We start from the raw sequence: 25,939 nt of genomic DNA, 5'->3' as shown, positions 1-25,939 counted from the left end.
ATCTTTTTATTTTAAGGTCAGCTGTTTTGCAGCTTCAGTTCCGTCTGCTACCTTAATCGCCCCTTGCCATGTAACATGACATACAGACTCTGGGAATTAGGATGTGGACATCTTCGGGGAGTAACTAAAATCTGCCTACCACATGCCGCCAATCCAAACTGTCCCTAAATTCAAACTCACATACCTAAAAACCTGACATCTTGACTTGGATGGCTATTTGGCATCTAAAACTTATGTCTAAGAAAACCCAACTCTTGATCCCTCCCAACCTTCTTTACCACACTTTTCCCATGTCATTGTCTGGCACCACCATGCATTTAGTTGCCCATCCTGGCTTCTCTCTTTCCCACCCTACTTCCAAGTCATCAGAAAATAGAATGAACTCTGACTTTCAAATATATCCTATATGTGACCAATTACTTCACCCCTTTCAACCTAGTCCAAGCTGTCTTCTCTTATTTAGAATGCTGGATAACAATCAAGAGTCTCCTAATTGAACTCCCTTCCTGCTACACTTGCCCCATCCAGTCCACACTCATTACAGCACCCACAGGCAAACTTACAAGCTAAGTCAGGTTATGATTCTCCCCTGCTCTCCTGTCCTCTCATCGTGCTTAGAATAAAATCCAAAGCTGCATGACCTGCACACCTCCACATGTGCTGGCCTAGGCTGTTCCTGCTCTCTCAGTTCCCACAGCTCTCCCCTCACTCCAGATACATACACCTCCTTACTATTCCTTGTGCACTCCAAGTTCATCTCACTTCAGACTCATTTATTTTGGCCTGGGAAGCTCTTCTCTCAGCTATCTCTCCAGGCTTTGTTTACAGTGGCCTTTTCTGGCCACCCTACTTAAAATAGCCTGCATCAGGCTGGGTGCTGTGGCTCACACCTGTAACCCCAGCACTTTGGGAGGCCGAGGCGGGTGGATCACGAGGTCAGGAGATCGAGACCATCCTGGCTAACATGGTGAAACCCTGTCTTTACTAAAAAATACAAAAAAATTAGCTGGGCATGGTGGCGGGCGCCTGTAGTCCCAGCTACTCGGGAGGCCGAGGCAGGAGAATGGCGTGAACCTGGGAGGTGGAGCATGCAGTGAGCCGAGATCGCACCACTGCACTCCAGCCTGGGCGACTGAGCAAGACTCTGTCTCAAAAAAAAAAAAAAAGAAAAAAAATAGCCTGCATTAGTCTTCTGTTGCTGCTGGAAAAAAATATCAGAATTTAGTGGCTTAAAGCAGCAGAAATTTATGTCCCCATTTTCTTACTGATTGTAAACTGACAGCCATTCCTAGCTTCTATGAGATGCCACATTCCTTGGCTTGTGGTCCCTTCCTCCATCTTCAAAGCCAGCTATGGCAGGCAAGTCTCTCTCATGCTTTAAATTTCTCCTGCATCTTATTCCATTGTCCTTGTCACATACCTCTAACCTTTCACTTTTGAGGGCCTATGTGATGATACTGGGTTCATCTACGTTATTCTAGATAAACTCCCCACCTCGAGACCCTTAACCTTAACCACGCCTGTAAAATTCCCTGTTTCATGTAATGCAACATAGTCATAGCTTCTAGGGATTAGAGGGTTTGCATCTTTGTGGGGCCATTATTCCACCTACAGTACAGCCCTCTCCATCTCTCTGTCCATTTAGCCTGCTTCATTTTTTGTAGTGTTTCTCTCAAACTGATGTTGTTTCTTTCACTGTTTGTCCCTTCAGCTAAACAGTAAATCTCATGAAATTAGAGATTGTTTCTATTGGTTACTTCAGTAGATTCAGCACCTACAGCAGTGCCTGGCACATAATAAGTGCTCAATAAATAGTTGATGAAAGAACCAGGAGTTTACTCGGGGGCATCTTGGGTTTGAAATGTGTGCATGATCATCAGTGGATATATCCAGTAAGCAATTGAGTGTGTGCTGGGACCTGGTAGGGTTTTCCTTTTACATGGTTAGAGAAAGGTGGGTGGGTGTGATAGTAAGCTCAAAATCCATGGAGTCAGATAGTCCTGGACTAAAATCCAAACCTGGCATTACTCAACAGTGGACAGATGACACCAACCTCCATCAATAACAATGGTATTTAGCTTTGGGATTGTTGATAGGATTAAGTGAGATGCTATATATAACACACTTATAGTTCCTAGTGTATACTAAGCATTCAATAAATGTGCACTATACTTCCTTCCACCATGGGTAACGGTGAGGAAAATGGATAAAGTGAGAAGTGAGGAAGAAGCTGTTCCAGGACAGAGCCAATGGGAACACTAAGGAACAGAAAGAGGAAGAGGAGGCAACACCATTAACAACAAAAATTGGGAAGAACTGGAAAGGTCAGAGGAAAATCAGGAGAGTCCGGCTATGGAAGTCACAGGAAGAATAGATTGTTTCAGGAAGGAGCTTGTGCTGAACAGTGTCAGACACCGCTGAGAGGTTAAGCAAAATAATCCACACAAAGGAAGTATTATCTTAAATCACAGAAGAAGATTTTAGTACAAAATTATTACCCATAGTCCCATAGTTAGGAAGGGAATGGAACAGAGTCTTAATTTCTATACAATATCTCCTCTGCCGTTTTTTTTTTTTTTTTTTTTTTTTTTATTTGAGGCAGAGTCTTGCTCTGTTGCCCAGGCTGGAGTGCAGTGGCACAATCTTGGCTCACTGCAACTTCTGCCTTCCAGGTTCAAACAATTCTCCTGCCTCAGCCTCCCGAGTAGCTGGGATTACAGGTGCGTGCCACCACGCCTGGCTAATTTTTTGTATTTTTAGTAGAGATGGGGTTTCACCATGTTGGTCAGGCTGGTCTTGAACTCTTGAACTCATGATCCTCCTGCCTCAGCCTCCCAAAGTGTTAGGATTACAGGCGTGAGCCACCATCTCCAGCCTTTTTTTTTTTTTAGCCAGAGAATATCTGGTTTTTAGCAGGGCACCCAGGGTGGAAGCTGTATGTCCCAGCCTTCCTTCAGCCTTGACAGGGACATTTCACTAAGTTCTGGCCCATCAGCTGTAAGTATGCATGACGTGGGAGACTACTGGCAGTTGTCCTTAGAAGAATGGGGCCTCCAGTTCCTTCTTCCTACTAGCTGGGATGCAGAAATCATGGCTACAGCTTAGCTAGCTAAGTGCTTATTTGGGGGTTTTCTGTCACATACAACTGAATTTAATACTAATTTGCTACTGCCGAAGTGGCAAATTTGAAATTTGCCCTAAGATCCATGTGGTTTTGTCTGATACCAAAGTCGTTTCTTCTAACACAATGATTCATTGCCTCTGCTTTAAATTACCCAAAAGACAAACTAGAATCCTTCTTGACCTGACTCATTACCTGCAGCAGTGCCCCTGGCTCTTGTGTAATTGCAGGATTAGAGCTATCTTTGTGTATGTTGTTATGGGAAGTGTTGGGCTTTGCAGTTTCTACCACCTGGGAGACATGTGAACAATTCTGGGATGGTTTTGTGGAGTCAGGATACCAGTCGTTGAATCAAAAGTCTACATACAGGCTACAGTATTTAGTCTGAACCTAAGACTCAATATTTGAGAATACACTGAGGGGAAAGCAGCCGGCTTTGGGGGTAGGAAAGGGAGAAATGTAGACTCGAGAGATTTGAGGGGCCACAATGGAAGGAAAACTCCCCACAAGTCAGCACAGTGGGTTCTAGACTTGCTTTGTCATTAAATAGTTTGGTGGTTCTGGACTGACTTATAACCCAGATGTTTCACTCTTGTACTTTCCATTATATTACACATGCCATGGAAAAGCTTCAAAATAATCTAGGACCATTTGGAAATATCGCTGCATAGGACCTACCAAAGGAAAGGGACCTGACTGAGCCATCACTGCTGCGACCTTGGACTTCCAGTAGTAATGCTGAAATGCACCAGTTTATATGCAATTTATTCATGACTAATAGCTTATATTTTTCAATTCAGCCACTCATGAACCAGAATATTCCCTCTGGACAGAGAATTACTGAATTCAAACAAACACTTATTGGGCACCTGTAATTGGTCAAACTAACAAGCATTTAGGTTGATTTAAACTATTGCCTAGACCTAATTAGCATTCCAATTTAACACACTGTGCTAACTGGTCCCTGAAGGTTCATTAGTAAAGGTTTCCTATGCTTCCCAATGCTCTCTTAGAATCTCATACTTAAGAAGTGCATGAATTAAGTCACAGCTTCACATTCAAGACTGATCCTCCTCTAGGTTTAGAGAATTTGCATGGCTTGGTCAACTGTTTTGGACAGTTTAATTGCCTAATATCTCCTTTTTATACATGTCACAATTATTGTTACCCAACGTCAATATTTAGAAACACTTAGCCAGGATCAAGAGATATTTGAAAACATCGTTAATGAAGGCACTAGGCTGTAATTAAATAAACATGGTTTGGGATAAAAAGAGTCAAGTTATGTGTGAAGTTGCCAGTTGTTTGTGGTTGATTGTCTTACAACCACATGTGCTACCACATAATGGGTGTTTCTTTGTTTTGCCAGAAGTAAATATTCTCCCTCTTTTAAAGTTTTATAGTCATCAAACTAATAAAAATTATTAAGATCTTTGTGATTGCGATATTTCAAGGTGAGTAGTGAGAGAATAAAGCAAATAATTCACCTGCCAGAATTTCCAGTACTATTTTCTGCTATAGCTTCTCTTGAACTTCTCTGTTTTCATATTTTTTCTCAGAGTACTACAGGGAAATATCTTCTGAATTATTGTTAACAGCCTAAAAAGTAGTCTTCAGATTTTGTACTGTATTAGAATGACTGAATTCATGTTCAATGATACCTATAGTGCCCACAATTTCCCTGCCCCAAACCAGAAAAAAATCTACTGCTTTATTTTCTAATGGGTGACATTTGAAAAAGCAGAGTAGGCTGTTTGTTTTTAAAAAGTGCATAGTTCTCTTGCTTCAGAAAGAATGGTTTTACAACCAATTTTGTTGAGTTAGGGTAATGATATTAAGTGAAAAATACCCATATGATAAAATATTTTATACATTCTGGGTGATAAAAAATAAAGATATGATAAATCAAGATATTTCTCTTATGGGGACCCTATATAAAGGCTGAATTCTGAGCAGACTTTTGAGTGAGGAGAAACAGAATGGTGAGGAGGAGGAGGGAACCTCTTATGCATTGGCAGAGGATGAAACAGGCAAATCAGGGGTAAGGAATGACAAGCCTTCAGGATAGAGAAATGTTGCAGGAAAGGACTTACTTGCCACATGCCAAGTCTTCAGAAAACACCAGTTGTGACAAATAGCTCCTGCATTTCTTTCACTCTTTCCCAAGATCAAAGAGGTGATTGTGTGGTGAGTTGGGGTCTGGGCTGCCCCCACCTTTTCTCTCTCTTCCTAAGACTGGCCCTCTGAACAGAATAGTGCCTTCTCCTCCACTTCTTGGGCTCTGTCCCTGCCCTGCCAGGGATTGGCAGTCAATTCAAGGGGAAGTCAATGCTAAGCCATATTCTGTAATCTAGCTTTACCAATAATTAGGCTGCTATTTTACCTTCATCTCTCTCTGTACCGATTTCTCATCACATTTGATCTGAGAGGGTAAGAGAAAATATTATGACCTTTAAATCTCAATGTATGGTTTAATAGAAAAAGAAATAGAAAATGAAGACAAATTCACTTGTCTTCCTGAAATTCTGCTTTCATCATGTCAGTCTCTGCATATTTCCTTTGTAGGATTTCAGTGGTCTCCATAAAAAGGCTCAGTTCTCTGATTTTCAAAGCCTTCTATTGCTTACTTTCACTCTACTAGAGCAACCTTTTTTTTTTTTTTTTTTTTTTTGCTGTATTAAGGAGGTTGACAAATAACATTGGCAATGGTATTTGCCATCTTCATTTCCATCTTAGGTTCTTCTTCCTTAGCCATTTCTGTGCCATATGACTCCTGGTCATAGCTGATTGGATCAGGATGACCATCTGGCCCAAGGGCAACCAATTTCTAGGCTGGCCAGTGATGTGTAACCTGCTCTGGTACAAAAAGCTTTACCCAAGCAGGATTGAAGGTAATAACCTGGACCAATCAGATTGTCTTTCTTAGGACTTTGAATAGGGAAATAAAGAGTGAATTAGACAAAGGGAAAGGTGCCAGAGGAGAAGTGAACCCAAAGAGAAGCAGGATCTGGGAGAGAGGCTGGTGGCATTAGAAGAGAAGACTGGAGTGAAGTTGTTCTTCGGTAGCAGCCTAGTGTACCCTTTATTTAGTCAACTTTATTTGACCTTAGAGGGCATGCTTTCTTCACCAGCTGGTCACAATGTTGCACTTAAAATCTGGAATCCTGAACATCCCCTGGGGGCTTTGTGTGTTCTGCTCATGTCCTCTCTCCTCGGCTCTTGCATCTTTTCCACCTGTGCACTGTTCCTTCACAGCACTAATAATCTTTTGCAATTGTATTTTTATTTGCATATCTGTTTATTCAATAACTGCTTCTTCTAGTAGGCTGGGAGCAACCTATGGGGGCAAGGATTAGTGCATTTTTGTTCACTACTGTGTTCTTAGTATTTTGCTCAGTGCCTCGGCATGGTAGATTCTTAATATTCATTGAATGAATGAATGATAGTGAATTTTTCTCCCACTTCTGCTGATTTCCCTCTACCTTTCTCAAGTCCAGACTCAAGACCCTTTGCTTATTTCTCTGTCTCAGTGTTGCCTTCTTTGCTCTTTTAATTGCATTTATAGTTTAACCACTACAAGGTATTTATTATACTGCTGTTATTCCTTAACTGTTGTATGTATTCAAAGTTAATTTTTACATGAATGGAAGCAGGTATAGTGACTCTTTCCATGTACCCCTTTCTTCTCCAAAATGCCTAGCACAGTGCCAGACCTGTCATGAATATTTGATAAACGCTTGGTGGCCTATAACAAAGTCCCTTTCAGTGACTGAGCCAAAAGATGGAGGCTCAAGGTGCCATGAAATCCTGGAGACTTACTTTTTGAGGCTTGTACATTAGGAAAAAATGTCTTTAGAGGAAAAAACTGTGGTTTCTACCAACATTGTCCTAATGATCAAAAATGGAAGGTCCACAGATGCAGAGCTCTGGAATAAGCACTGGAGAATTTTTAAGGTCTATTTTCAAACATAGTTCTAATGTGTATTTCAATTAAAGCTTAAACACACAACTAGCACCTCCTTTGTTCTTTGAACGCTAATAATCAGATTCACAGGTTACCTTTGTATGAACAAAGTCATAAATGGTGAGTAAGCCTTGCTTATTCACTCAAAAACTAGACTTTAAGATTTATTAGCTTACATTTCCAAACTCAAAATTATTGTATTTATTTTCACTTTTGAGAGCTATTGTATCTTACCCCTATTTTATTTTTTGAGAGAAGGTCTTAGTCACCCAGGCTGGAGTGCAGTGGTACAGTCAGCTTAATGCAGCTTTGACTTCCCACTCAAGCAATCCTCCCACCTCAGCCTCCTGAGTAGCTGGGACCACAGGTGTCCACCACCACACTCAGGTAATTTTTTTATTTTTTATTTTTGTAGAGACAGAGGATTTTCACTATGTTGCCCAGATGGGCCCTGAATTCCATGGCCTCAAGCAATTCTCCCACTTTGGCCTCCCAAAGTGCTGGGATTACTGGGATAAGCCACCATGCCAGACCCCTTAATTTTTTTTAAATTATTGTTTCATCTCACTCTACTTCCAGATTATAAAAATCTTTGAAAGTAGGTACCATATCTTCTTTTTAAAACACAAGTAGCATTTATTATCTTAATGTTTTATTTCTTGTTAAGGTAAAATTCATATACGATAAAACTGCACATATTTAAAGTGAACGATTTGATAAGTTTTGACATATATTTACACTAAAAATCTATTACCACAACTAAGGTACCAAATGTTTCCATCACCTCCAAAAGTTCCTCCGTGTCACTTACACTTTGTCTTTCACTGCATTTCTTACCTCAGGCAACCTCTGGTCGATTATAGGTAAACTTAGATTTTCTAAACTTCTATAAAAATGGAAATATACAGTAGGCACTCTTTTTAAAGATATAATGGATTATTTTATTAGATGTAATAATTTCCGGAGTAACTCCACATTGATGCATGTATTAGTAGGGAAGTACCTTTTGGTAGCTGAATACTATTCCATTATATGGTTATACCATATTTTCCTTATTCATTGCTGATGAACATTTGGGTTATTTCGAGTTTGAGATCATTGCAAATGAAGCTGCTATGAATATTTGTGTGCAGGTCTTTGTGTGGACATACGTTTTCATTTCTAGTTGGTAGATTCTAGAGGTGGGATGGCTGGGTTATGGGTGGCATATGTCTAACTTTCCAAAAGTCTGCTAAAGTGTTTTCTAAGGTGGTTGTATGCTTTTACATTCCCACAAGTGGCTTACGAGGACACAATACCCTCAACACCTGATATCGCCAATTTTTAAGAACATTTTAGCTATTCTAAAAGATGTTCAGGCTGGGTGCAGTGGCTCATGTCAGTAATTCCAGCACTTTGGGAGGCCAGCGTGGATCACTTGAGGCCAGGAGTTCAGGACCAACCTGAGCAACACTGTGAGACCCCTCTTTGTCTACAAAAGAGTTAAAATTACCTGGGCATAGTGGTTTGCACCTGTGGTCCTAGCTACTTGGGAGGCCGAGGCAGAAGGATCGCTTGAGCCCAGGAGTTTAAAGTTGCAGCCTCAAAAAATATTTTAAAAATAAATAAATAAATACATGATGTTTAATGGTATCTTATTGTTTTAATTTTTCTTCTTGATGACAAATGGTGATAAACATTTTAATGCACTTATTATTCATGTGTATATCTTTTTTTGTGAAATGTCTGTCAAATATTTTGCCTAGTTTTAAATGGGCATATTGTAAGAATTCTTTATTCTGGTTTCAAGTCCTTTGTCTGATATGAGTTTTAAATTTTAAATATAGCTTCTTGATGTGGAACTTTAAGTCATTGAGAATGTGTTGTATTTTTCTCGTTCTTTATATTTTATTTTGGATTCCATCTGGATATTCTCAATGTTTTGTTATATAGACTTCGAGTTATTTTATATTCCTCTGAGGAATTTTGCTAACGTTTTCTTTTTTTAAATACCAGCTAACCTGGTGTCTGTCTCACACGCGTATGGTTAAGGGGTCAACCTGAACTATTTTTGGTTTTTGTACATAGGGTTAGGGGATCTATTCATCTGCTTCTCTACTTTCTGGGATTCCCTCCTCATTTTCCCACGGTGGCTGTTGTCCTAGCTTCTTTCCTTGGTTCCTGCAGTCAGAAAGACGATGGGGCTTCCCACATAGTTTTAGCTTCCTGTACTGCAGCGAGATTCTGCAACCGTACCCCAACTTTGAGTCAAAGCCATAAAGGAACACAAAACCCACCCCCATTCTTTTGTTGCTGCTCCGAGGTTCCAATTACCTCCATAATCTGCCTGCTGTTGTTTACTTGTCAAGATTATTAGGTTTGATTTTTTTCCCCTGGTTCTGTAGTTGTTATGGGTGGGAAGATGGTTCCGTAAGGGAGTTACGCCACCATACAAGAACTAAAATTTCACTGTGTATTCTGTTATCTCTTTTATCCTTCCCTACAGTCTCTTAGGGCCTGAGCCGGGGTTGAGCGAGCCGGCCATCATTTTTCTTTTTGCTTCTCTATGAATATATGGTACCAAGACAAATGCAAGGACATAGAGGAAGCAAACGAAAGTGAAAAGTTTGGGAATGTGTTTGCAGAAGAGATCAAAGTGTCGAAGTTTTCCTAAGTATCACAGAATAGATATTTTGAGTCTTAAGCAGGTTGCCAATAAATGTTAGTCTTCCTGCTTTTTTTTTCTGCTTGTTTATGATCTCTACCATTATTGAACATCTACTATGTGCAGACGTTGTAGCTGGTGCTTTTCATACATTATCTTTAATCTATATGTCTACAAGGACTAAGGATTTTTCTCAACTCTATTTCATATGTTAGGGAATGGGGCTTAGAAAGGTTAAACACATTGTGCAATGTCACATAGTTTAAAAGTAGTGAAGTTTGGGACACAAATCTTTGTGTGTGTGTGTGTGTGTGTGTGTGTGTGTGTGTGTGTGTCACCAGAGCCCAATTCGTTTTCCCTTGATCACCCAACCTCTCAGGCTCCAGTTCTACCCTGGTGTCTCTCCATATTATTCTGATGTAAAATCATTTACTTTTGTTAACATAAGGGGCTGTTGATCTCTCCCTAAGGAGTGACTATCTATGTAATGTATTTATACAATGCACAAAAACTGGGGACTGAAGAATTTTATTTGCATTGCAAAAGGAAGCCCAGCCTGGTATCCTTAGGTAGTTCTCCTCTTTCATCTAAAAGTACACTCCAAGTATTGGCTACATAAGCCTTCAATAAAAGCTCTTAGAAATGAACTGAGTCCTTGGGAAAGTGTTAGTGAGATCAAGTGAATCATTGAAATAGCTGTGCCTGTTCAAAATCACACAGAACCTAAGAGATGTATCAGCACCTTCAATTGTGCCTTAACACGTACATTGTAACAACTTGAAACTCATTAACAGCTTGTTCTCTGTCTCCTATGATCAATGGTTTGCTTTCACTTAGATTTTTTTTTCTTGCTGTTTCACAAAAGAGATGAAGACTAATTGACAAACATGCCAAATTCAGAGACATTTTATACATTCTTAAGAAGACTATCTTTTCAGAGTTAAAAATACGGATTTTTTGGTCCATGAATTCTTTTTGTATTTGTCATAGAAAATATTAAGAATGTTATTAATAATATTATGAACAGAATATGAGTTGTTCGTGTCAGTGAACTTGATTATTCCTGAAATAGCTAGTTTATTTTTCTTTCTTTTATTTTTCTTTCTCACTCAGTGTTCTTTTAGCAAACATTTATTTAATACCTAATATGTGCCAGGCACTGTTCCAGGCCTTGGAGCTAAAGCAGTGAAGAAAATAAAGAAAAAACTGCCGTTCATATGAATGGGAGAGAAAGACAATAAGCATTAAATAAATAAAATAATTTAACAAGAAAGCAAGATATATCCTATGTGAGTGGTGAGAAGGGCTATGGAGATAAATAAATCAGAGAAAGGGAATAGACAGTACTGTTTTACATAAGGTAATCAGAGAACTGATTATGTACCATGAGTTACATAATCACATGGTACATAATCTTTAAGCAAAGACTTAAAGAAGATGAGGTATTATGCTTTGGAGTATTTGAGTAAAAAACATTCCAGACAACTTGAAAGTCATTAACGGCTTGTTATCTGTTTTATGTGATCAATTGCTTGAAGGAACAGCAAGTATAGAGACCACGAATAGGGAGGCCTTGAGCAGGGAGCCACCTGCCATGTTCAAGACTCAGCAAACAGGCTAGTGGGGCTAGCACACCACAAGGAAGGGGGCAGGAGGGGCAGGCGGCAGGAGGTTACTACATCAGGAAGAGCGTGTATTTTGAGTAAGACACTGGGGTGGAGGGTTGGATTGTACAGAGGAGATAAACGGTCCCTTTCAGCAGGGTGGCTCTGAATAGAATAGACTCTAGGAGGCTAAGATCAGAGGGAAAAAGCAGTTGAGGCTATTGAAGTAGTTCAAAGGAGAGATCTTGAAGGCTTGGACCATGGGAGTGACGAAGGGGTGAGAAGTGGTCACACCCTGGGTATACTTTGAAGGGAGAGCCAAAAAGATTTGCTGAGTGGAATACGAGAGAGAAAGAGAAGTCAAGAATGAACCCAAAATTGTGGCCTGAGCAACAGGAAAAATTTAGTTGTCGTTAACTGAGAGGGAAGGCTGTAGAAGGAATATGCCAGGGATATAAGAATAAGAACATAGTTTTTACGTGTGAGGTGTGACACATCCATCAGTCACCCAAGAAAGGGGTCAAGTTGGCAACTGGATACAAGAATCCAGAGTTTAGGGGTGAGGTCCAGGCTAGAGGTGCAACTGTGGGAGTTTTCAGAATTAAATGATATTTAATACCATGTGTATGGTTAAGATTAACCATGAATCCCCAGAGTGCTATAAAATCACGAGATTTAGGAGCTGAGGAATAACAAGAACAACAGACTGAGAAGATGTGGTCAGTGAATTGCAGGAGGCAAAGGAGAAGAACACAGTGTCCTAGAACCCAAATTAAAGAACTGTTTCAAGGAAGCCAGCAATCAATGTGTTAAATGCTGCTAACAGGGTCAAATAAGGTGAGGAACAACAACGTGCAAGCCATTGGAGGTCATGGTCATGTTGAAAAAGTTTTATGAGAGTGGACTGGCCAAAACACTAGCTGCAAGAAATTTTGGAGATAATTGGAAAAGAGGAACTGACTGCAGAGAATGAATACCGAGAATGCTCTATATTCTCTCTATATTAAAAACATTTAAAAAAATTTTTGTCAAAAAGAGAGACAGAGAAATAGGGAGTAGCTGTAGGAGATGGAGGGTCAAGAGTTTTTTAAATTTAATAAGATGGGAGAAATCACAACATGTTTGTTTGCTCTTGAGATTTATCCAATGAAAATGGGAAATGATAATGCAGGGGAGAGGGTAGAGAATTACTGGGCAAAACAGTGAGCAGGCATAGAAGGTAAGGGGATGGACAGTACATGGAGAGTAATAGGAGGGACGACTGAATACATTGCCAGAGAGACAGGTGCTTGTGGAATTTTCCTGCCAATTGCCAATTGCCACAACTTTTAGTTGGCAAAAGGAAGATTAAAAATTGTAAGACTGAGGCCAGGTCCGGTGGCTCACGCTGTAATCCCATCACCTTGGGAAGACAAGGTGGGCGAATCACTTGAGCTCTGAGCTCAGGTGTTCAAGACCAGCCTGGGCAACATGGCGAAACTCCATGTCTACAAAAAAAATAGAAAAACTAGCTGGGAAAGGTGGCTTGCACCTGTAGTCCCAGCTACTCAGGAGGCTGAGGCAGAAGAATGGTGTGAACCTGGGAGGCGGAGCTTGCAGTGAGCCGAGATGGCGCCACTGCACTCCAACCTGGGCGACGGAGCAAGACTCCGTCTCAAAAACAAAAACAAAAACAAAACAAAAAAGTTACCATCTTGTATTAGTCTGTTCTCACACTGCTAATAAAGACATACCCAAGCCTGGGCAATTTGTAAAGGAAAGCGGTTTAATGGACTTGTAGTTCTACATGGCTGGGGAGGCCTCACAATCATGGCGGAAGGTGAATGAGGAGCAAAGTCACATCTTACATGATGGCAGGGAAGAGAGCTTGTGTAGGGGGACTCCCCTTTATAAAACCATGAGATCTAGTGAGACTTGTTCACTATCATGAGAACAGCACCGGAAAGACCCACCACCATGATTCAATTACCTGCCACCTTATCCCTCCCACAACACGTGGGAACTATGGGAGCTGTAGCTCCATAGTTCAAGATGAGATTTGAGTGGGGACACAGCCAAACCATATCACACCTCAATTGGTAAACATAATACTTCAAATGGAATATCTTTCTGGGAAAAAAATTTATATCAACAAAAAGCATATTACCCAGTAAGCCTATAGTAAGAGGAAATCATAAATGATAGTCTTTTATATATTTCATATTATTTCACCCAACCACGACAACAACATAATATGAGTTATGTATTATTGATACCAATTTTGCAGATGAAAACATTGGTATCTCAAATTAGTTAAGTTACTTGTCCAAAGTTACGTGGACATAGATGGCAGAACCAGATCTTAATTCTAGGTTTTCTGACTCAAATCTATTTATCTTATTACTTCTAGTAATGAAATCTCAAATCATGATCTTGGGTTATCCAAGAGGTTAAATTATTTTTAATATCTTCTATTAAGGTAGAAAAATATGTAAGTCAAAGCAATTAAAATAAATATTTTCACATTTTTATGGAATAAGTTTCAGCTTTCTGAAAAATGTCACTCATCCAGGAGTCCTTGGTTACCAATGATAAATGAGATGTCCAAACCCCAAAGATACTGATGTTAGGTGGCAATTCATAAAAATAAATTGGAATTGCGTGGAATAAACTGCATGGAACCCATTGCAAAAGTTAAAAACTCAAAAACTCAGGTAAGCTAATTTAAGTAATAAAACTCAGGTAAGCTAAGAGTCACTAATCCTTTGAGGTATGAAAATGTTTTTTCATTTTTCTTAAACCTTGAGATAATTGGTAAAGAAAAGCTGATATTTGAGTCTTTTTTTTTTTTTTTTTTTTTTTTGAGACAGAGTTTTGCTCTTGTTGCCCGGGCTGAAGTGCAATGGCGCGATCTTGCCACACTGCAACTTTTGCCTCCCTGGCTCAAGCAATTCTCCTGCCTCAGCCTCCTGAGTAGCTAGGATTACAGGCATGTGCCATCACACCCGGCTAATTTTGTATTTTTAGTAGAGACGGGGTTTCTCCACGTGCGTCAGGCTGGTCGAGAAGATCTTTTGCAACCCAATGAGCCAAAAATTCAAATATTTTAAAATGAAAATTTGTATAGTTTTTTTGTGCTCGACACCCATGAACCAACTAATAGGAGGTGAAGCTAATTGGCTGATAATTGTATAAGTGTGTAAGTAAAAACTTCACTGGATAACTTTGCCTCACTTTCTCCAGTTTATCCTTGAGACACATACTATTAATATTATCCCTGGACCAACTTATCTCGGTTTGGGTGCTATGCTGCTTCCTTAAGTCTCTACATAGAATTCTTATTGTCTTTTGAGTCAATCAGTTTTCTGACTGAGACTTAAGCTTTACCATCTCATTGGTAGGAATGCATCTCATATCTACTCTCTTGTCTTGAGTTTTTAGCAGCTGTTTACTATAGTGAAATGATTTTTTAAAAGGTAATAACAGTAATGATAATTTATGAAGTATTTACCAGATGGCAGTCATTGTGCAAAAACACTTTAAAACTGTTTGCACTCATTTTTATTCTATCAATAACCTTATGTAGGTAGTTTTCCTCCTTCTGCACTTTCTTCCTCCTCTTCCTCCTCCTCCTCCTCCTCCTTCTCCTCCTCCTCCTCCTCCTCTTCTTTTTTTCTTCTTCATCTTTTTCTCCCCCTCCTCCTCCTTCTTCTTCCTCTATCTTCTATCTTCTTCTTCAACAACAACATTTATTGCGTTGGTTTTCCTCACTTTGCATGCTCCAGCTCACTCAAAGTGAAACCTATGAGCCTTGTCTTTGCTTTCCATTCACACCTACTGCTTCTGAGATCCCGTTTCTTATCCCTTGACACTGTAGCTTTGTCTTGCTTTTGCTTATCATATCTTGGAGTTTACTCCAAGGGGCCTTGATCTAACTTGGATTCTGAGCATTGTCAGATTGGATTCTCTACACTGGCACATCTCAACACTGAAATCACTCCATTTTGGCTTGCCCTTCCATCTGCCCAGAGCCATGCCAGGGTGGGTAGATCTATCTAATTCCAGTGCCTACCCATTCTCCCTTCCTTGATTCTCTTATTTTGAATACAGGGCCATGTTTCATTTATGCAGCCCAATCATTCATTTATTTATTCAATCACTCTTCTTATATTTAAATCAACAGTATATTAGACACAACTCTTTCCAATTTTGAGAAATTTGTTTACTAATGTGCTTACATTTTTTCCTAAGTCTCTGAGTTCTATGGATTTTCTATCAGGTTGCATGTAAAAAATGAAAATATACACTGGGGCATTTCAAGAATTAATAGAAAAGCTTAAGAAATCAAAATTCACTTGCAAGCACATTTCTATAAAAAGCCAACTAAATTGGAATTAAAGGAAAAGGCAAAGCTAGTTGAATAAATGTATTTTGTCTATTATAGTATTTTTTCAGGTCTAAATATAAGGAAAGGTAAAAATTTTTATAGCTATTTTGGACAAAGTGTAAAACTGAGGGAACTGCTTTAATTCAACATCTACCACATCCAATGTTTATCCTACTCCACAAAATTGAAGACATTTTCTTGGTTTTGGAGGTGTTAATTTCCATATGGTTGAAAACATAACCCTTTCTTTCACTCACTAGGAAGAGGAGTTCTGTATATGTTGAGGACAATTTTAAAAAGACTTCACACTTCCCCATTTCCCTGGTTATTGTCATCATTAGAACTGTCAAAGATTTGTGATGATGACTGCTTGGACACAGAAATCAGGACAGAGTATTAATGTATCAGGAAGGGGCTTTTTAGGAATTTAACATCTTTGGTTCAAACTGTGAGGTTAACGTGGACAGACAACATTGAAATCAATGGCATATGCATCATTTTCTGTAAAATGTGTAAAGTTTTGGACCTCGAGAAGAGAAGCAGAGGCCTTGAGAAGAGAAGCAAAGGCCTCGAGAAGAGAAGCAAATGCTTCTGAAGAGTGTGCAAGAAAGCAAACAGGGGAGCATCTAGGGCCAGAACACACAGACCTTCCACCAAAACTAAGCAGCTGCAGCACATATCTTTTTTCTATGAACACATTAATGAGGAAAAATATCTTAAATATTGTCTAATTAAAACGTGTGTAATTGTGTGGTGTGCACATACACCCACTAAAAACTCAGCACCACTTGGGTAAATCACAATTTAATTTTTAAAAGACCCTCAATCATGGCATGGTGCAATTAAAATTTTAACAAGTAACTACAAACTTTAATTAACGAAGCTCTGAATTGCAAACTGTCCTAAGCTACATGAGCATTATGTGCTAAACTCTATGGAATGGAACTAGCTGACTTAATTCTAGTAATCAAATTAATACATAAGAGAATCATTGAGTATTGTCTTTTCCTACATTTTATTAGTGGTTTGTGTGAAACTCAGTCACATAACATGTAGAATTGCTTTCAAATTGCAGGCTACATTCCTAATTGAATCAAGAGAAAATAAATAACAATAAAAGGCAAACTCTGGGAAATGAAACAGTACACATGATTCAAATATGGTTGAATATAGTTGCTTGGTGTGTATTTTGATAATATCCTTTCTTCTTCATGTTCATCTTGATTTCTGTGTTTATTTTGGAAGTCTAGAATTAATTCTGATGATAGTTTATTTAAAATAGTACATCTGAATTTAAGGATAATTTAGAAGTTCTTTATTTTTCTTTAGAATGTAATCTACATGTTAGTACTTTGGTGAAATGCACTATGATAGCATATTTAAGATAGTGCCAAGACTGTAGCAAACATTCAACAAATGTTTGTTAAACTAAATTCATTCCCACTTGGCTCCATCCAAGTGATTGTTGTTTTATATTTCCTCCCCCTTTCACTGTCTATGAAGGAAAGCCTATCCATACTGTATGTGTGACGTCTTGTAGGGTTCTTAAAACTCAACATATCCAGAAAGAAATTCATTCTCTTTCATCCATCCATCTATGATTCACGTCATCAACATCTGCTTAGTCATGCAAGCCAGGAGCCTTGAAGTCATTCTTTATGTCTTACTCTCTTTCAACCCCTGACCATATCTGTCCTATGTGTCTCCACTTCTCCATACCCATGACCACTGGCTTAGTGTAGTGTACCATATCTTTGTCTATGCTGTCACAGCATGCTCCTGAATGGCCTAGTTCTTTCTTTTTTGTTTTCACTTATTCTGCGCTCTGTGACCAGGATTATTTTTCTGAGATAGGATTTTAATCCCTTCATTAACTTCTCTTCAAGTATAAGATGGAATTTAAGCTCTTCAGCATAACAGACGAGAAACTCCATAGGCTACAATAGTCTGTTGCAGTCTCATTATCAGCCACTTTCCCTAACATATCCTTCAAGTTCACTGAAGTCTTTGAAGTCCCAGAAACATGCCATAAACATCTGTGCATCTGTTTTTCTGCTCATAATATTTTCTCTGCCTAGTGACTATTTTCTTAAAGTCAATTCTTAGTTCAAATGTCACTTTCTCTGAGATTTTCATCTCTGATCCAGATAAGAATATTCTAGGTTATCTGCTTTTAAAAATATTACTCAGCATCTTAAACTGTTATTTGTTTAGAAGCCTGAATCTTCTGCTAGATAGTGAATGTGGCTCTAAGATGACTTCCCATGATCTTTACCACCAGATATTCATGTCCTCATATCACTCCTCTCCTTGAGTGTAGGCTAGACTTACTGACTTATTTCCAATGAATAGAATACGGCAGAAATAATGGGATACCACTTCCAAGCTTTGGTTATAAAAGAAGACTTTGGTTTTTGTCTTGGGTACTCAGCCTCTTTTGCTCTCTCACCTGCTTTGAAGGAAGACAGCTGCCATGTTGTAAGTCACTCTATGGAGAGGTCCATGTTGCAAGGAACTGAGGGAAGCCCTTGACAAAGAGGCAGTGAGGAAGTAAGACCTTCTAGTCCAACATCCTATGAGAAACAATCCTGTCTACAACTGCATGAGAGAGCTTGGAAGAAGATTCTTTCTCAGCTATAGAAAACCATACTCTATTATAATAAGGCATCTATTGCATGACACTGTCCTTCAAAAAAGATTGGTTTTAGATCTCCTACTGATGCAGGATATTTTCTTGACCACTTCATGGGACTTGTGATGGGGTGCCGCATTTACTCAGCCCACTCCACTCAACTCCTTGTAGGAGGGAGCATGCGAGCGAACGAGTATGGGAACTGGAGCAAGTGAGTGCAGGAACCAGCCAGCAGCCCAGTAGGTGCAAACTGAATTCATTCAGGTCCGCTGGACTCCACCCTCCCTGGGAGGGAGCACACAAGCAGGAGAGTGCAGGAACTGGCCGGCTGCTTTAGTGTTGGCAGAAGCAAACTTTATGCATGCCCCGTTGCAGCATCCAGGTGGGGGTGCCTGTGACCCCAAGGCCTCAGAGGGTGTGTTACAGTGCTGTCTTAGCTCCACCATTTTTGGACAGCAGTGTGATATCAGCTTAGTGGGATCTTTGCCTCATGGCGTGGGGTGGCTGCGCTCTACCAGTGAGCGCAAAGGGCCAGTGTGACAGCCTTTTTGGGTACCTGCACTTGGTGCATCCCAGATTCTTGTCCAGTTTCCAAGAGGAATGAGGTCATGTGGAAAAATTGAAGGATGGTGAATGTGGAGAATTTTATTGAGTGATGAAGGTAGCTCTTAGCAGAGAGAGGAGGTGGAAAGGGGACGGGAAAAGCAGGTTGTACTCCCCTGAAGTCAAACCTCCTGTCTCTTTTGAAGTCAAGTTGCCCAGCCACTGTTTCTGAAGTCAAAGCCGCCTCTCCCTGACGTCCAGCCGCTTGTTTCCTCTGCCAGCTGAATCTGGGATCTTTATAGGCACAGGGTGGGGGCAGGGTGGGCCATAGGTAGTTGTGGAAGAGGAAACATTCAGTTGGTGGAAAGACATTATTCAGAAAGAACCAACTGGGAGAGAGCAGGCACACTGGGATGGAAGTTCTTACTTTGGGCTGCAGGTTTCAGGCTTTTCGATTGGAAGCTGGGGTTTTGCCAGGGTCACACCCCTGTCTGCCTAGAATTTATGTATCACCACTATGTGCTATCCAGGCACTAAGCTAAGGCAGTAGTTCAATTATGAAAAAGATGAAGCCCATTTGTTCTTCTTCTGGATGTTTTTCTCTCAGCTACTTCTTGTCTGCCTACAAGCATGCCCAGGTATTTTCTATCCTGTACAAATCAAAGCGAAAACCTTAAAAAGTATTCCCTCAACGCTGATACTCTCTCAAACTACTACTGCTACTTTATCTTCTCAAGTAATGATAGATGCTTAGAACAAAAAGACTGCTTATATGAACAGAATGAAAATAAGACAAGTGCATGAGCTAGGGTCGTAGAAGAAGGAATAGAAAAATTCATGTAGGACATTATAAGCCACAGTAAAAAACTTGGTTTTATAGCAAGTACAGCATCATTAGTGGTAACTAAAAAACAGTTTTATCCATTTGGTACTATAGGCTTAGTGTCTAGATTAGTCTATGAGCTTGTCAATGGAATTTTTTAAATCTGGAAGAAAAATTATTGGCTTCAAATTAAGAAAAAAAAACCCTGGAAAATAAAAATGAACAAAAGTATAATTAAATGTCTAAAGAATATAATGTTAAGTGTAATTCAATCCAACTCTACTTAAATATAAACTTAAATATAAATGTAATCCACAAGAACAAAATAAATCATTTATCTTTAAGAAAACTCAAATATAACCATTTTTAAAAAACCTTTTGAAAAAATTTTAGGGAAGTTATATTTAACATCTGATGTGGGTGTATTTTTATATGTTTGAAATGATATGGGATGAAAGTCTCTAAACTTAGAAAGCTGGCGGACTAAGAAGTCCCAAAACTGCCATGAATCTGCTTGCTAATATCTAAAAAGAGCACAGTGTCTCAGCAGACAAGAATAATTGAAAAGGTGAATAATCTTCAATGTATATAACTATCAGTAAAATAATATCCTATAATTCCCTGGAATAGTAAAATGTACATATATATATATAACATTGGATATTAAATATTTAATATTATATATATTTTTCAGGAAGCTGTGGCATTTTTTCTATTTCTACACAAGAAGAAGTATAGAATCAAGATTTTGGCTATAATATACACATCACTAATATATAATCCTGTCCCTTAAGTAAAGATTAAGTGTATTTTCAATGTTATAAAAAGATATATCTGGCAGTTCTTAAAACTAGACCCAATAAATATTTAGTTGATATTTCCCTTGACAAGTGTCTGAGAATTTGTTTCTTACAAGATTTGTAGGCTGGGATACTGTTTCGTTTTGTTAATCTTTATATGGTATTGACCACATACACACAAAACACATATACTCATATGTACAAACACACATAATCATACTTATAAACACACAATTGCAAAGATCAGACATCTCACATCTCCAGAGAAAATCGAAGTAAGATTTTTGCTTTTTCTTTATGTTTCCAATATAACCTGGAACCCTGCCAGCAACACCAGAATTGGATACCATCTGTGAAATTAATTTGAAATTCACTAAGTTTAATTTGCCTGCCTCTAAATCTGCCATGGCTTTCCTCCAAATTTATTTTTCCAAGTTTAGACTTCAATTTTATTCAGAGATCCTTCTCCTGAGGGTATTTTGGTCCCTTTCACTGTAGAACTGTGCATTTTAACCATTAACCATTCATATTTCCTATCTTCCCAGTATTTGAGTTAGTAGTTTGTGTCTCAGACTAAGCCTCAATATAGTTAAGAAGAAACAATGTTGGTTAGTCCAGCAAAGCATCAAGAAAAGAGTTCTCAAGTCATTTAAAAATCTTTAGTAGCTGTTTTTTTGTTTTTTTGTTTTTTGTTTTTTTTTAAAGAAATTTCTACCCTGATTTAGAAGTTGTGCATGGTGGGGTGGAGGAATGGTGAGAAAAAACTTAAAGCAGCCTTCCTTAAACTTTTTACCCTAGAACTCTTGAAATAATCTTCAGATCTCAGAGATGTCCTGCATAAAATTATTATATCAACAATTCTCTATACATTAGTGTTATCAGTAATTTGTGGACATAATAATCCACTAATAATCTCAACACTCTTTTGAGTGTACAATTATATTTTCCTGTAGATCAATTTATTTGACTTACTTCTAGAATATTCTATTTGTATAGTTTGCCTTTCTCATACTCTAATACTAGTCAGTAGTGAAGGCGGAGGGAACCTTAATTCTTTTGGTTTTTATATTCCTGTTTGATCTTTTAAAAATCTCATTCAAAAAGACTTGAAGATACAAAGCCGTTCTTTGGCAACAGGCAGTGTGGATGCACAATCATTTAAGTCTTGGGCCACAGATTGAAGTTCCTGCTCTGGAGCACAGGGGCCTCCACAGCCAGAACTGTGGAAGGTGCCTTAGCAGTAGGTGCTGGAATTGTGCTATCCCCCATCACAAGCCTGGGGTGGGAGGAGAATTTCTATAGCAGCAGTTTCTTCTAGATGATGAGACTTATAGCCAGGTCCAACTTGGAAATCTGGAATGGGTCTGTGTGTGTCATTGCTGGGAGTTCCAGCCTGCTCCCCTGAGATTTTGGTACGGTGGGGCCCTCTACTCTACCCACAGGCAGAAATAAAGCATTAAGACAGCCTGGACCAGCAGCCTGAGCCATTCTACCCTTCATGGACATAGATTGTGGTGCAGTAGGGCCCTCTCTGCTTTACACACAGGCAGATCTCCAGGCATTTGGAGCAACCACTCACATGGGTTAGCAGATTGGGTTTCCCTACCCTTCCTGTGCAGAAATCCTATGCACAAAAAATAATTACAAAAATTAGTGCCAGCATCTCCAGAGGAGAAGGTACCAGAGCAAGAATTCAGGCACCATGAAAAATCTGAATGCAGGGACATCACCACCAAAGGATTGCACTAACTCTCCAGCAATGGTTCCTAACCAAAATAGAAGCTCAGAAATAACAGGTAAACAAGACAAGCATGGATTGAAAGAATGCTCAACAAGATCAAGGAAAATGTTGAAAATCCACACAAAGAAGCTTCTAAAACAATCCAGGAAATGAAGGAAGAGATAAACATCTTAAAAAGAACTCAATCAGAGCTTCTGGAATTGAAAATCTCACTTAAAGGACTTGAAAATACAAAGAAAGCTTTATCAATAAACTGGAACAAGCAGAAAAAGAATTTCAGAGCTTGAAAACTGATCTTTTGAACTAACCCAGTCAGAAAAAAATAAAGAAAAAACAAATTTTAAAAAATGAGTAAAGTCTTTGAGAAATATGGGAGTATGTAAAGTGACCAAACCTTCAAATGCTGGCATTTCTGAGAGAAATGAAGAGAAATAAAACAACCTGGAAAATATATTTAATAAAATAATTCAAGAAAATTGCTCTAATCTTGCTAGAGGGAGACATCTGGATATGAGAAATCTAGAGAACTCCTGTGAGATACTATAAAAAATGAACATCATTAAGGCATATAGTCACCAAACTGTCCAAGATCAAAACTAAGAAAAAATCTTAAAGGCAGCTAGAGAAAAAGGTCACATTATGTACAAAGGGAACCCCATTAGGCTTACAGCAGACTTCTTAGCAGAAACCTTATAAGCCAAGAGAGACTGGAGGCCTTTTTTAAGCATTTTTTAAAAAAAGAAATTCCAACCAAGAATTTCAAATCCTGCCACACTAAGCTTCATAACTGAAGGGAAAATAAAATGTTCTCCAAACAACCAAACACTAAGGGAGTTGGCTACCACTTGGCCAACCTTGCAAGAGATCTTTAAGGGTTTCTAAACATGGAAGTGAAAGAACAATACCTCCTACCACAAAAACACACCTAAGTACAGAGCTCATAGACACTATAAAGCAACCACAATAGAAACTGCAAAGCAACCAGCTAACAACTTCATGATAGCATCAAAATTTCACATATAAATGTAAACCTTGAATGTAAGTGATCTAACTGACCTACTTAAAAGGCACAGAGTGGCAAGTTGGATATAAAAAAAGCAAAAACAAAGTCCATTTGTCTGCCACCTTCAAGAAACCCATCTTACGTATAATGACACCTATAGACACAAAGTAAAGGGTGAGAGAAATATAGACAGAGCAATTAGGCAAGAGAAAGAAGTAAGTGCCATCCAAATAGGTTGAGAGGAAGTTAAACTATCCCTGTTTTCACATGACATGATTCTATATCTAGAAATCCCCATAGTCTTGACCCAAAAGCTCCTTTAGCTGATAAAAAATTTCAGCAAAATTTCAGGATAAAAAATTCAATATACAAAAATCAGTAGCATTTCTCTACACCAAAAGCAGCCAAGCTGAGAGCCAGATCAGGAACACAATCCCATTCACAATTGCCACAAAAAGAATAAAATGCCTAGGAATACAGCTAACCAGGGAAGTGAAAGATCTCTACAATGAGAACTACAAAACCCTGCTCAAAAAAATCAGAGAAGACACAAACGAATGGAAAAACATCCCATGCTCATGGATAAGAAGAGTCAATATCATTAAAACAGCCATATTTCCCAAAGCAATTTACAGATTCAATGCTATTCCTATCAAACTAACAATGACATTCTTCATAGAATTAGAAAAAATTATTTAAAAATTCATATGGAACCGAAAAAGAGCCCAAATAGCCAAGGCAATCCTAAACAAAAAGAACAAAGCTGGAGGCATTACATTACCCAACTTTAAAATCTACTACAGCTACAGTAACCAAAACATCATGGTACTGGTACAAAAACAGGCATATAAACCAATGGAAGAGAATAGAGAGCCCAGAAATAAGGCTGCACATCTATGACCATCTGATATTTGACAAAACTGACAAAAACCAGCAATGGGGAAAAGACTCCCTATTCAGTAAATGGTGCTCGAATAACTGACTAGCCATATGCAGAAGATTGAAGCTGGACCCCTTTCTTACACCATATACAAAAGTCAACTTAATATGGATTAATGACTTAAATGTAAAACATAAAACTATAAAAGCTCTGGAAGACAACTAGGCAATACAATCCTGAACATAGGAACAAGCAAATATTTCATGATGAAAATGTCAAAAGCAATTGCAACAGAAGCAAAATCGACAAATGGGATCTAATTAAACTTAAGAGCTTCTGCAGAGCAAAAGACACTATCAATAGAGTAAACAGACATCCTACAGAATGGGAGAAAACATTTGCAAACTATGCATCTGTCAAAGACACAATATCTAGCATCCATAAGGAACTTAAACAATTTACAATAGAAAAACAAATGACCCCATTAAAAAGTGGGCAAAGGACATGAACAGACACTTCTCAAAAGAAGATATACATACGGCCAACAATCATATAAAAAAAAAAAGCTCAACATATGCAAATCAGAATCACAGAGATACCAACTCACACAAGCCAGAATAGCTATTATTAAACAGTCAAAAATTAACAAATGCTGGCAAGGTTGAGGACAAAAGGGAACGATTATATACTGTTAGTGAGAGTGTAAATTAGTTCAACCATTGTGGAAAGAAGTATGGTAATTCTTCAAAGAGCTAAAATCAGAAATACCATTTGACCCAGCAATCCCATTACTGGGTATATACCCAGAAGAATATAAATCATTCTACCATAAAGACACATGCATGTGAATGTTCATTGCAGCACTATTCGTAATAGCAAAGATGTGGACAACCTAAATGCCCATCAATGAAAGATTGGATAAAGAAAATGTGATACATCTATACCGTGGAATACTATGCAGCCATAAAAAGGAACAAGGTCATGTCTTTTGCAGGAACATGGATGGAGCTGGAGGCTGTTACCTTTAGGAAACTAATGCATGAACAGAAAACCAAATACCGTATATTCTCACTTATAAGTGGGAGCTGAATGAAAAGAACTTATGAACACAGAGAAGGAAACAACAGATACTGGGGTCTACTTGAGGACAGAGGGTAGAAGGAGGGAGGGGAGTAGAAAAAATAACTATTGGGTACTGAGCTTAAGACCTAGGTGATGAAATAATCTGTACATCAAACCCCATGACATGAGTTTACCTATGTAGTAAACCTTGACATGTACCCCTGAATCTAAAATATTAATAAAAGTTTAAAAAAAGTTTAGAGAAAGTTCTATTATGCAAACAGAACACAGAAAAGAACAGGGGTTAGTATTCTTGTATTAGATAAAACAGACTTTATTTATTTCTAAAATGTTTTATTTATTTTATTTTTTAGTTTTTTACTTTAAGTTCGGGGATACATGTGCAGAATGTGCAGGTTTGTTATATAGGTATACATGTGCCATAATGGTTTGCTGCACCTATCAACCCATCACCTACGTTTTAAGCCCCATATACATTAGCTATTTGTCCTGATGCTCCCCCTCCCTCTCCCTCCACCACAACAGGAGTGTTGTTCCCCTCCCTGTGTCCATGTGTTCTCTGTTCAACTCCCACTTATGAGTGAGAACATGCGGCATTTGGTTTTCTGTTCCTGAGTTAATTTTCTGATGATTATGGCTTCCAACTTCATTCATGTCCCTGGAAAGAACATGATCTCATTCTTTTTTGTGGTTGCACAATATTCCATGGTGTATATGTACCACATTTTCTTTATC

The 25,939-nt window shown here is 38.6% G+C and overlaps 1 long non-coding RNA gene across 7 annotated transcripts in view; it reads left to right on the top strand.

Annotated features, from left to right (window-relative positions):
* LOC105375716 (uncharacterized) overlaps positions 1 to 25,939 on the top strand; it is a 436,284-nt gene that overhangs the window by 2,399 nt on the left and 407,946 nt on the right. The gene's annotated exons all lie outside the window — the stretch shown is intronic.

This window comes from Homo sapiens, chromosome 8 (genome assembly GCF_000001405.40).
Source record: "Homo sapiens chromosome 8, GRCh38.p14 Primary Assembly".
In the NCBI taxonomy this organism is placed as follows: domain Eukaryota; kingdom Metazoa; phylum Chordata; class Mammalia; order Primates; family Hominidae; genus Homo; species Homo sapiens.
This window is presented reverse-complemented; position numbering and strand designations above follow the sequence as displayed.